This window comes from Homo sapiens, chromosome 7 (genome assembly GCF_000001405.40).
Source record: "Homo sapiens chromosome 7, GRCh38.p14 Primary Assembly".
Lineage (NCBI taxonomy): Eukaryota > Metazoa > Chordata > Mammalia > Primates > Hominidae > Homo > Homo sapiens.
The window spans coordinates 12,231,151-12,245,253 of record NC_000007.14 but is presented as its reverse complement, the minus strand read 5'-3'; the positions used below and the strand labels follow the sequence as shown (position 1 = coordinate 12,245,253).

Here is a 14,103-nt window from a genome sequence, read left to right as displayed (position 1 = left end):
AAAAATCAAGTGGGCCAAATAATCAGATGATTACATTACCTATGACATGAAATAGAAAATACTGCTCATAAAAAGAATAAACAGAAATGTTTACTGGGCTGCCTTAATGTTTCAACTTTTCAGCCACAAAATAACTTAGACTTTCAAAATAAAGAAAGATATATCTGTTATATTTACACTAGTCTGAGTCCCAGTTAATTCTGGATACAGCCAACTGGACTGGGTAAATGTCTCTTCAACTCAACTGGAATACTCTTAGAATGAACTGTCTAAACATTTAAATAGGTAGTTTGTAAAAAAATTGAAAGTGGCAGGTTGCTGCCAGTATTTTATCTACAGCTCTAGATAAAGTAAATAAAAATGCTTACCACTGAGAGCAGGTGTCCTTGAATACTGTACTGCTAGAATTGAGAAGTGAAAAAAGGATTTGAACAATGCTTCCAGCACCTAAAATCATGCTGCTTTAAAAACGCACCCTATCTAAAGTCATTTTGGCTTTCCCGAAATCAGTATGCCTGTATACTCATAACTGGTATATAAGATGACCATTCAGGCAAGTCAGTTTTATCTTACTATTGTTTGAATTAAGATAAATATTTATGTTTTAAAAATTATATACCTTCAATAAGTCATAAAAGGATAAAAGCAGATCTAAGTTAAAACCCGGATTTGACTTGAAAAATTAAGTAAATAATAGTATAGTCTATTCCAATCAAAGCTTAGGAAATATGTCACAAAGTACTTTCTGTCAGAGTTAATAGGATTAACAAAGAGAGATTATTTTATCACCTCCTTAGAGTACAGGGCTTCCCAACATTTGTCCTCATGCCATTCACAGAAAACATTTGCTCAGCCCATTAGGACAAACCAATGAGGAAGCTCCCAGTCTGAGATGACCAGCCACTCCAGGACTTATGTGGCCACCAGAGGGCTGGCACGCCTGCAACCCATTGTAGTACAATGACTGGAAAGTTCTGCTTAGACTCTTCATGATCTTCCTTACCCTGTATCCCGTTCTCCCAGCCCCTCAAAATGCTATAGTTGTACTGCAGCTCTGTTCTCCATTGTAGTACTGTAACAGATAATGAAAAATAGAAGAGGGTAATGTGTAGGCGAGATAAAGGGGATGAAACAGTGTATTTTTGGCCAGTAAACTGTCTTATTTTGAGTTTGAGACTGTATACTTTCATCATTGTATCCCCTACAATCAAACACAATGCCGTGTGTATAGTTGTTGCTTATAGTTGACTGGATTGAAACTTTGGGTACCCATCACCACACCATTTTGAGTTCTTGCAATTCTAAGTGTCATAATTAGATCTTTAAATATACTTGGAAAAAGATGATAATAATTTCATAAAGGGAGATTGTGGTACTACTTACATAATATTTTGCCTTTAATAAGTCTTATGATGATAAAATCCAGCCTAAGTTAAAACCTAAGTAGTGTGGATCAAAAATAAAACAATGTACCATTTTCCCAACATTGTTAATGAGTTAGTTTTTAGATTGAAAGAGCAAGTCAAAGTTTAAACCCCAAGTTGAACTAACCCTCAGTTTTTAAACTGTAAAAAGGAAAATAGCAACAATAGTACAATAGTACATACCTCGTAAGGCTGTATATATTATAAAAAAAAATGCCTAAAGAATGCTTGTTATAGTGCCTGACACGGAGAAAACTCTTAACATTTTATCTATTACTTAGTACATCAACTTTATTCCATTGAACACATTAGCTCCTGAAATAACTTTTCAGTTTGTTATATCTCTTAACAGGTATTAAGTAAGTTCAAAGACTATAGAGTACTACAGCATTTTTAAAAAATATGTCAATGTATGGCTTTGTGTGAGCTGAACAAATTTTCCCTGATATAAATAGCACAACATGCTTTTCAAATTATCTTTTATTTCCATGAGAATGATACATTTCTTCTTAAAAATTAGTATCAAAATACATACTATTTAAATGAATTAATGTGATCGTTCATACAATCTTCTTCATACATTAAAATGTGAGGTTGACTTATAGTAGTCATATATATTAAGCCTGAACTGACTTTTTAATACAACAGTAATGTAATGGCCTCCTCTTCTTGAATCATGTGACAATGCCACTATTGAAATCACTAGTGGTAAAGTAACAATATTTATATAAATAAAAAACCTTGAAAATATTAAAGCTTTTTTAAAGATTCTGTAAAAATCTAATGATGTTATACGAAGTTCTTTTCAAGAACAAATGTTTGAGTGATAAGTAGTTGAGTCCTGCAGGAATTAATAACCAAGATTCCCTGTTCTCATGTTTACTATGTTCTAGTATAGGTACATAGGCAATAAATAAATCAGTAGATATGTATAATATTTTACATAGTGATAGGTCCTATGGAAAAGTTAAAAGTTATGAAAAGAATACAGAATTCTATGGTTCATAAGTATTGAAAATATTCACTTCTTTTTTTTAAACCAGATACAGGCTTACAAAATAGCCAGCTATTAACAGTATTTTAGGAAGGAAAAGAAGATACTCGTTGAAGAAGGTTATGTTTTGAAAGTATGTGTGACAAATGACATAAATATTCAAATAAGCATTTTTAGGAAATCCTTTAACTTGAAAAATACACAAGTTACCCAGTAAGGACACAATTAGATAATATCAGATGCATAAAAGTTTATATTTCAGTAAAACACTCTCTGTGAAAAATGTGATTTAACCTTAATCTTAACTTTACATAGGTTGTTACAGATATCAGTGTGGTCTCTGTTTAGATTTATTCTAAAATAAAAAAATGTTAACAAGTTATCAACAAGGCAGAAAACTTGAAACTTGATTTTGTTAAAGAAGGGTATTTTTTTTTTTTTTTTTTTTTTTTTTTTGAGACGGAGTCTCGCTCTGTCGCCCAGGCCGGACTGCGGACTGCAGTGGCGCAATCTCGGCTCGCTGCAAGCCCCGCTTCCCGGGTTCACGCCATTCTCCTGCCTCAGCCTCCCGAGTAGCTGGGACTACAGGCGCCCGCCACCGCGCCCGGCTAATTTTTTGTATTTTTAGTAGAGACGGGGTTTCACCTTGTTAGCCAGGATGGTCTCGATCTCTTGACCTCATGATCCACCCGCCTCGGCCTCCCAAAGTGCTGGGATTACAGGCGTGAGCCACCGTGCCCGGCCGGGTATTTTTTTTTAATTTAAGAATTAAGTACCTTACACTTCTCAAAAGAAGACATTTATGCAGCCAACAAACATGAAAAAAAGCTCATCATCACGGGTCATTACAGAAATGCAAATCAAAACCACAGTGAGAAACCATCTCACGCCAGTTAGAATGGCAATCATTAAGTCAGGAAACAACAGATGCTGGAGAGAATGTAGAGAAATAGGAAGCTTTTACACACTGTTGGTGGGAGTGTAAATTGCAACCATTGTGGAAGACAGTGTGGTGATTCCTCAAGGATCTAGAACCAGAAATACCATTTGACCCAGCAATCCCATTACTGGGTGTATACCCAAAAGATTATAAATCATTTTACTGTAAAGACACATACACACATATGTTTATTGCAGCACTGTTCACAATAGTAAAGACTTGGAACCAACCCAAATGTCCATCAATGATAGACTGGATAAAGAAAATGTGGCATATATACACCATGGAATACTATGCAGCCATAAAAAAGGATGAGTTCATGTCCTTTTCAGGGATATGGATGAAGCTGGAAACCATCATTCTCAGCAAACACACACAGGAACAGAAAACCAAACAGCACATGTTGCCACTCATAAGTGGGAGTTGAACAATGAGAACAGATGGACACAGGGAGGGGAACATCACACACTGGGGCCTTTTGTGGGGTAGGGGGCTAGGGGAGGGATAGCATTAGTAGAAATATCTAATGTAGATGACGGGTTGATGGGTGCAGCAAACCAACATGGCACGTGTATACCTATGTAACAAACCTGCACGTTCTGCACATGTATCCTAGAACTTAAAGTATAAAAAATAAAAAAAAAGTTAGGTGTCTGAAATAGATTTGGGATTAAAATTATTTGTATTTCATCTTTTTGGGGCAACTTAAAAAATGCTATTATCAATATATTCCATTCATGAATCTGAAATTCATGAAATGAAAATAAGAAATCAGTGGTTTCCAATATATCATTTTTAAGGATTCCCTTTGAAGACAAAACATTTAAAATGTATGTTAAAATGGAAAATCATTTCTTAAAAATCAGAAATTACATTTGTCTATTGTCATTTTCAGTGCTATTTAGAAAATATAAATTTAAGCTGACATTTGCCTAGTTATAAATTATGTTTCACCCATAAACCAAAGCAGTTTTGTTGAATCACACTCAGTAAGTTATCACTGAAGAAGTGACTGTACACTACCCTCTAGGCCAATGTTCAGGGGTCCCTGGAAAGGTGAGCAGTCAGGGGCTGCAGGTCTTCTGCTCTCAAATCAAAGCATCTGTTTTGTCACATATCAAGGTTCCTCATAAGATGCTATTTACAAATAAGTATTTCACAAGCTTTAAAAAATTCTGAAAAACCACTGATCAAGGAAACAGAAATCTACCAGAAAAAAAAAAAAAGCCTCACAAACTTATTAATGATTCTTCTCCCTTGAGAAACTGGCTAGGAGGAGCACATTCAGGTAATACATCTTTTCATTTTCGTTTTTCCATATTATTCTACAGAGATAATTTTGGGCACATTCCATCTAATTTCAAATCATACTACCTCATACAAGATTTTAAAAATAGTAATTAAAACACAACCTCTAAGCTGACAAAAATTGTTTGAAAAAAGTTGATGAAAACAAAAGTTTAAAACAAGTTTAAAACAAAAAAACTTGGCTCAAACTTTGTGACTGGGCAACTCCTTTAAAAGTAAACATTCAGAAAAAACATTCAGAAAAAGTTCACCAAGTGTTTGAGTAAGTTTAGAGGGAAAGTAGAGAGGGGTTGGACACGAAGTGGGCATTGAAAAAGATAGAATTGGGGGATAAAAAACATGGGCAAATAATTTTTCTAAGAAAAAAGGAACAGAATGAGCGAAGGGATAAAGGAATGAACTGTTCCCAATGAGAAAGAACTCGATTTGGTCAGGACATTGTTGAAGGGCAATAAGAAATGATTGTGAACTGAGATTGTAGCCAGCTAATGAAAGGTTCTCAACACCAGAGTAAGAACTTGGGCTTTTTCAGTAAAAAAGAAGGAAGTGCAGATATACTTCCTTTTATTGTGCATCACCTTATTGCGTTTTGCAGATATTGTGGTTTTGATGAATTGGTTTCTTTCAATCCTGTGTCCAACAAGTCTATGAGTGCCATTTTTTTCAACAGCATGTTCTCATTTCATGTCTCTGTCGCATTTTGGTAATTTTTGCAATATTTCAAATGTTTCCATTATTATTAAACCTATTTTAATGATCTGTAATCAGTGATCTTTGATGTTTTTGTAAGTATTTGGAGGCAGCATGAACCATACCCATGTAAGGCAGTGAAAGTAATAAAAAAAAGTGTGTGTTCGGACTGCTCTCCTAACCAGCTGTTCCCACATCCCTCTCTCCTTGAGACAAAATAACATTGAAATTAGGCCAATTAATAATCCTACAATAGCCTCTAACTGTTCAAGTAAAAGGAAGAGTCACATATCTCTCACTTTCAATCAAAAGCTAGAAATAATTACACCTAGTAATCAAGCATTTCTCACCAAGGACAATCTTGGAAAGTCAAGATAGGCTGAAAGCTAGGTCTCTTGCACAAGTTGTGAAGGCAAAGGAAAAGTTCTTGAAGGAAATTAAAAGTGCTATTTCCTTACTGTAAGTAATTGAAAAGTGTTCCAGAAAACATGAATGATAAGAAAATCAAACAGCCTTATTGCCGATATGGGAATGTTTTAGTGGTTTCAATAGATCAAACCAGCCACAACATTGCCTTAAGTGAAAGCCTAATCCTGAACAAAGCCCTAACACGCTTCAATTCTATGAAGGCTGAGAGAGATGAGGAAGCTATTGAAGAAAAGTTGGAAGCTACCAAGAGGTTGGTTAATGATGTTTAAGGAGATAAGTTGTTTCCATAATATAAAAGTGCAAGGTGAAGCAGTAAGTGCTGATGGAGAACCTGCAGTAAGTTACCCAGAATATCTAGCTAAGATCATTGATGAAAGTGGTTACAATGAACAATATATTTTCAATGTAGATAAAACAACCTTCTTTTACAAAAAGGTGCCATCTAAAACTTTCATAGCTAAAGAGAAGTCAATGCTTGCCTTTAAAGCTTTAAAGGACAGGCTGACTCTCTTTAGTGGTGAATGTAGCTGGTGACTTTAAGTTGAAGCCAATGCTCATTTGCCATCCTGAAAATCCTAGGACCCTTAAAACTTTTACCTACTCTGCCTGTGTTCAATAAATGGAACAGTCTGGATAATATGACATCTGTTTACAACACGGTTCACTGAATATTTTAAGCCCATTGTTGAGACCTGCTTGGAAAAAAAAATTCCTTTCAAAGTATTACTACTCATTGACAATGTACCTGGTCACCCAACAGCTCTGATGATGTACAAATAGATTAATGTTGTTTTCATGCCTCTTAACACAACGTGCATTCTGCAGCCATGGATCAGGGAGTAAATTTGACTTTTGAATCTTACTATATAAGAAATACATTTTGTAAGACCATAGCTGTCATAGGTAGTGATTCCTCTGATGGATCTGGGCAAAGTAAATTGAAACCTTCCAGAAAGGATTTGCCATTCTAGATGCCATTAACAACATTTGTGATTCAGGGGAAGAGGTCTAAATATGAACATTAACAGGAGTTTGAAAGAAATTGATTTCAACTCTCATGGATAATTTTGAGGGGTTCATGACTTCAGTGAAGGAAGTCACAGCAGATGTGGAAATAGCAAGAGAACTAAAATTTAGCAATGGAGTCTGTAGATGTGACTGAATTGCTACAACTTGATGCCAAAACTTGAACAGATGAGGAATTGTTTCTTATGAATGAGCTAAGAAAGTGGTTTCTTGAGTTGGAATCTACTCCTGGTGAAGATGCTGAGACCACTGCTGAAATGACAATAAAGAATTTAGAAAATTATTTAAACATGGTCGATAAAGCAGAGGCAGGGTTTGAGAGGACTGGCTCCAATTTTGAAAAAAGACCTACCATTGGTAAAATGCTATCAAAACAGCATCACATGCTAGAGACATCTTTCATGAAAGGACAAGGCAATAGATGTGATAAACTTCATTGTTGTCTTAAGAAATTGCCATAGCCACCCCAACTTTAGTAACCACTACATGGATCTATCAGCAAACAACATCCAGACAAGATCCTGTGCCGGCAAAAGGAGTATAAACTTCTGAACATTCAGATGATCGTTAACATTTTTTAGCAATAGTGTGTGTGTGTGTGTGTGTGTGTGTGTGTGTGTGTGTGTATGTATATATTTTATATGGGGTCTCGCCATGTTGACCAATTTGGTCTTGAACTTCTGGGCTCAGGTGATCCTCCCACCTTGGCCTCCGAAAGTGCTGGGATTACAGGTGTGAGCCACTGCACACAGCCTATTTTTTATTAAGGCATATATATTGTGTTTTTCGACATAATGCTATTGCACACTTAATAGACTACAGTATGATGTAAACATAACTTTCATATGCACTGGGAAACCAAAAAAAGGTGTGTAACTTGCTTGATTATATCACTTTATCGATATGGTGTGGAACCAAACCTGCAATATATCCAAGGTATGTCTATAATATCAAGGGAAATTTCACGTATGAGATAAATTCCAGAGACATTACAGAGGTAGAATGGATAAAGCTTGAGTACTGATTGGAAGTTAAGTGAATGAAAAAAAGAAATCAAAGATAATGCTAAAGTAGAGTTCAGGTAAGGACTATAAGGATGAAAAGGATTAAAGGTAAAAGATTTTGAATATCTACACTGATTTGTTTATGTTAAGGAAATTTCAAAAGCATAGCCAAAATACATAAGTGATACAAATTTTATTTTTCATGCTGAAATTTTTTTACAAATTTTATTGCGTCATACACAACTACAAGAGTAACAGTTATAACTGAATTAAAAAAATAGCATTTTGGGGGCATTTCTATTTGTTTGCTATTATAAGCATGTTTTGTTACATGAACAGCAATAATAATTACAATTACAGAACTGCTCAATTCATAAATGTAGTAAGTGTGTCATGATGGAGGCTACTACATAATATAAACAGTAAATGCCCAAACATATTTTCATATTCTATATTATTTATTATATAACTAGAATCAAGGATTAGAATCTAGGTAATACCATCATTCAAATATCTGACCAAGTCAATCAAGTGAGCAAGCACGTCAAATCATTTTCCAAAATCTGTTATAGTTTAGTTCTAAAGAAAAATATAAGATGAAACACATAAGGCATGGCTTGTTAATAATTTATGCCTAAAACCATTATATAATAAAAATCTGCATATTTTGCAACTTGGCATTTGTTTCATCTGACACAATAATAAAAAAGATGAATAGTACTATCAGCACTTGGAATTACCCAACTACAGCTGATATAGTACCTCCCAGACTTCTAGTTTCTAAAATTCTGGGTGAAGTGGGACAATTTGAACTATAACAGTCTACATGGTAGTAATATTACCTTTTGGCCACTGGCTCAATACTAATCCTTTTTTGTTTTTTAATATATAAAATATGCTGAAATTGTATCTCTTAAAACACATTTCAATTAATGTAATTAAAAACAGAAGGGTAACAGCTTCCTTTTAGAAGACTTAAGACTTAGTTATGAAAAATCTGCCATATTTGTTAAATTAATCCAACATTTTTAGGGTCAAATATAGATCATACTACATTTTTCAATTTAGAGTCTGTGATAAATACTTGTACAAATAACTATAAACACAACCAAATTACTTTTAAAAATGGAAATTACCATTTTTATCTCTTTAGTAACTTTAATCACTTGATTTTATCCAATTTAAGGACAAACTTCAAAAATCCACTGTGAAATTTGTATTCCGACTAAGCACAAAAATACACAAATGTTAGTTCTAGTCAGAAATTTAAGCTGACAAGTGAAAATCTCACTTTGAAAGTAGATCTGGGACACAGAAGTTAAATTTTTGATCTGAACACATCATAAATATATTGTTGTAATGTAAAAATAATTTTTTAAAAGAAATGTTTAACAGTCTTTTTACTCCACCATCTCAAACATGTAAAATTTTTCCCTAAAATAGTCTAAGATAAACATCTCATCTGAAACCCGATTTTATAAAAAAGAGAGAATAAAACTAATTACTCTTATATGTACTTGAGCCAAGTAGTTGCTGCTTCCAGATGTGAGCTAAAAATCGTGACCTAATGACATTATGGTAAGCAACCTTTTGCTTATAACCCTAGTAACTTGTAATTCAATTCCTATTGCTTATCAAAGACCCATATGTATTTGTAAATTTAAAAATTTACATCTTTTAAAAAGTACCTAACAAACTATTTTCTTAAATAAAATATAATTATTATATAAAGAACTGTTTATTCTAAGAACTTTAAAAGACAAACAAAATGGGGTGCGGGAGAGTTGGGCACATGCCCTCCAAGAAAATATCTAGAATTATATCACAATAATAAGGCTAAGAACCATGAAGGATTTATTAGGCTGAAGTTTCAAGTCTCCTAATATGTTACTTTAATTGTGTTTTTGATGGTCTCCTACCTATTTGAACATTGCGGTGTCCTTTCCAAACTGTAAATCAGACAATCTGAAGTGTGTTATATTTTATTGTCATTTTCTTAGAGAAAATAATTGCTTCACTGGCCTAACAAGGCACAGAAAAACTGTACACAAATAAAATATAGCCATTTAAATGTTCCATACTTAAGATGGTTATTCAGTAATTTCAAACAATTTATGTGGTATCTAATATTTTCATACTATTCTTATTTCAAATCTCAAATAAATTAATCTCTATTATTTATAAATAATTTCCTTAGACAATGGATCAGTCTTATCTTTATTGGAATGATGAAGGGGTACTAAATTTTAACAGAAAATTAAGCTAAAGATTATGTTCCAAAGCATTTTATAAGTGTTCATTCTCCATTTAAAATATTTTAGAAAACAATGCTACCAAAATCTTAGTCCAGCAGTATTAGTTTGTCACTACTAACTATTTGAACTTTCCTCTCATTTTTAATCATACCAATCTGAGTCAGCAGGGATTTCCAATATATATTTTAAATGATAGAACACAGATATGGGAGACAGAGATACTTGATCTTGCTCCAGTTGTACTACTTAGTAAGTACGTGATCTTCAGCCAGTCCCTCAACTTCTTCATGCCTTTCCTTCCTCTTCTAAAAGATAAGGAGCCTATCACTCTCCTTTGTTGGACTCATGGAACTGTGGGAAATCACGTAAGAAAAACATAGGAAAGAACTCTAAAAAGGGCCAATGTGCTATCAACATACAGAGGTTTGTTATAGTACTGGATTTTATTAGAATGACCAGTCTACTAGGGTGTAACTTAAAGTTATTCCAGGAAGTATCAGAAAAATTTCTGTAACATATCTTTACCATGTCCTCTGGATAAGGTCTGAGAGCAGTTTAGAAAAGCGTATTAATACCTATCCTATTCCCATGGAAAAAAGCACACTGGACATTGACCTAAGAAAAGCTAAAAGCCTCATTCACTCTTTCTAGATGTTTTATGGCTATACTTCTGCTTCACCTGAATGTGTGTTTGTAGTTTTATTAATTTACAGCCTGTTTTGTTCCAGGCTTATTCTGACAGTTACTTAACTCTCTCTGAAAGTAGTCACATACCATCTTTATTTCTCTTCTATCTTTTTACTTGTTTCAAATTCTTGTTTTTTTCTGACTCAAACTCCACTAAAAGTAGATATAATAAAAAAAATTAATTCAAAAGATGAAGAAAAAAGATTCAAAATTAAGTGACTAAAAGCAAATGCTTCTACTTTCCATCCTTTTCAGGAGATACTATCATGCACTCTAATAGTATATAAGAAGCACAGATCATCAGAAAAATCTGTTTAATTTACACGATGTAATTTTCCAAGGTTAAAAGACACAAGCAAGAAAACAAGGATTGATTTTTGTATGAGCGTATCTAAAAGATAATTTTGAAGAAATGAATGGTGATAATAAAGTAAATGGGACATGAGGACAGGATGGGAACATAATAGAAAGGATATGATAAAATAACTTTTTTTTTATTTTACACAGTCACTAAATGTGTAAAATTTACACATTTTAGTAAATGTGTAGTTCACTAGCTAAATGTGAAAGCAGACAGGTGACTGGTCACATATGGAGAAGCAGATTTGGAAGCCCTACTACAGATACAGGTGATTTTTGAAGTCACATAATTAAAAATTTTGAGACAAAAGGGGACCTATATCATATATAGACATAGATCATGTCAAATGAGAAAATGAGAATGATATAAAAAATACAAACAGAACCTGTATCAGAGAAGTATGCAGTAGTAGTCAGGAAACGTAGCAGAAGAAAAATGAAAATGATTTTTTTTTTTTTAAATACTAGAAAGGCCATAATGAACTTAAAGGACTGATTTGGGTTTAATAGTAAGGATGGCTTGAGTTAGCAATGAATTAAGGGAAGACTAGTGTTAAAACAAAAAAAAACCAAAAACCACATTCAACGAATTGAAGATACTCAAGAAAACTTGCAGAAAATAATATGAAAATTAAGGGGAAACCTGAGTGTGTTTAAAGGCAGAATTAAATAAAGCTTATGTTTTATGGTTGAGAGAGTCAGACTAATAAACAGGCTGTTTCAGACCTAAGTTAGGCACTTAGGGGTGGGGAAAGGGAAACCTGATTTCTGTCATGAGAAAACAGAACGAAATTAATCTCAACCCAGCTACATTTTTTGGTATCATAACCACTCCTACACTTAGTACATATTTTAAATGTCCCTAGAACTTGGTAAGTGAAAAGACAAAAAAAAAAAAAAATGAAAAATGATACTGAAAATATAAAACAGCAAAGTTGAATAAGTCAATAATCTATATTTGAAAACAATTTTAAATAAAACCAAAAGTAGAAAACTATAAAAAAGTAACTACTAGAGGCATCATATTCCAAGTGATGTGCAAAGTGATTAAATTTCTAAATAGGTTTTATTTTGGCCACCATCATTTAATGACATTCAATTAAGGATTTCTTGAACAATTTCTACCAAAAAAATAATTTCCTCCTCTAAAACATTGATAAAATTGATAACTGGGTACCTAACAGTTGCAAAACATGTCTACACCATTCTTTAGTATGAAAAGCAACATAAAAAAATGGAGCATCAAAATATTTTATTTCAAATTTATTTTATGCCAGATCCAAGCTGTAACTGGAACCTATTCCCAGTCTATGGGTTTCTGAATTTCATTTTCCTATTTATTGTATTTTTATGAGAAACTTGTTGTAATGAGTCTGTACCACTTTATTTGACATTTACTAAAGCTGTATAAAAGCCATGCACAGTTTATTTACAGTATTGTACATTAAATGATAATGTTTGAAGATCACACAAAGATTTCACAAAACTATAACTAATACAGAAAGATGTGTGAAAACATTAGGGGCTTTCAAAATTTTAGGTATGGAATTTTGCAAAGATTATTTTGGCTTATAAGTGTTAGGCAATCACTAACCTGAAATAAGTGACAAAAACATGCAGATGATTACCATTTCAACAAATGAAAAGCTATAAATGTCTAGCTAAAAGCTAAAATATTGTGTAGCTGAAATACTACCATATAACAATGGGAATTTATAAAACAGGAAAAAAGGTTATTCTTTAAAAGTCTTCCATGAGTAATAGACTTTCAGTAATTTTCTATAAAAACATTCAGAAATTAAGTTTCTCAAATTATGTTTATCACCAAAATTATGTTTTCAGTAGTGACTGGAGCTATGACTTTTAAATAATTATTTATTGTACTATAGGGGAAGTATCAGCTTTTCCCTGTAGGGGATAGGCTGGAGAAGGAAATCAACCAGTAAATTTAGATTCAAGTAAAAGATCCTAGTACAAATATATCATTAACACAGAGTGGAGAGTTACAAGAACTGCAGGTCCACATACTTTTAACTGTACTCTTAGAAGTGTAAACTTTAGGTTTGTTCAATTTAAGGTCTCCTATTAGGAAATACCTCTTCATTGAGAGTATAGGAAATATCAATAGATATTTCTTCTTTAAATCCATCTCTTCCAGTTTTTACTGTTGTGGCTGAAGTACATTTAAATATTCAGACTGCCCCAACTGATAAGTTGTGTTTCTTCCACAGTCGACATACTGATACCTCTCCTGGGATATCTGTTCAGAGTGGCCAAAGTATGTTGTTGTCACAGTAACTCTAAAAATAATGTAAGTGAGGAGAGACATTTAATAGTTATATTAGAAGTTTTTCCATAGTGAGACTACTTTAACACATAAAAATTATCTCCCAGAAGAGAATATTTGATTAATGATAACTTAATATTGTGCACACAATCCTCTTAAGGAGTATTTCCCCAACAGACAACAAAAATGGATAGCTGAGTGAGCCCTGTAGACATAATTACACATAATAAGTGTAATATTTTAAAACAATTATCTTCTGTTAAAAATATAAAAGTTCATTATATGCTTAAAAGTGACCATGGTTCTCTTATCATAGAAAAAAAGGTTAATCAAATGTCAGCTAATGGTCAAAACACCAAACCTATAATCAACAATGTTTTATTGGCTTAGATAACACCCAATTTACAAACCAATAATATTCTTATTACTGTTAATGACTATTTGTCAAGGGAGTAAGGAATTGGATGTGGGGCTCAGTTCCCTGTATCCTTTCCATTTTCCTGAACTCTTGTGACATCCAGATTCACTACTTAGCAGTCACGTAGTCTTTCACTACTTCTCTGAACAACCATTTCGTAATTTTTAAAGTGGGTGATATTTACTCATAGCACTCTTGTAAGGCTTAAAACCCAACTGAGGTGGCATTTATAAAGATGTTGTGTATATTATAAGCCAATGTTATAAATCCAAAATGTTAAC

At 33.2% G+C, this 14,103-nt stretch overlaps 1 protein-coding gene across 2 annotated transcripts in view; it reads right to left on the bottom strand.

Moving 5' to 3' along the window:
• Positions 1-1,886: 1,886 nt before the first annotated feature.
• The window catches only part of TMEM106B (transmembrane protein 106B), a 32,074-nt gene continuing 19,857 nt past the window's right edge, over positions 1,887-14,103 (bottom strand). For both annotated transcript variants that reach the window (NM_018374.4, NM_001134232.2), the window contains one exon: positions 1,887-13,417. In NM_018374.4, the coding sequence (NP_060844.2) occupies positions 13,279-13,417 (139 nt within the window). In that variant the 3' untranslated portion in view covers positions 1,887-13,278. The remainder of the gene's footprint in view (positions 13,418-14,103) is intronic.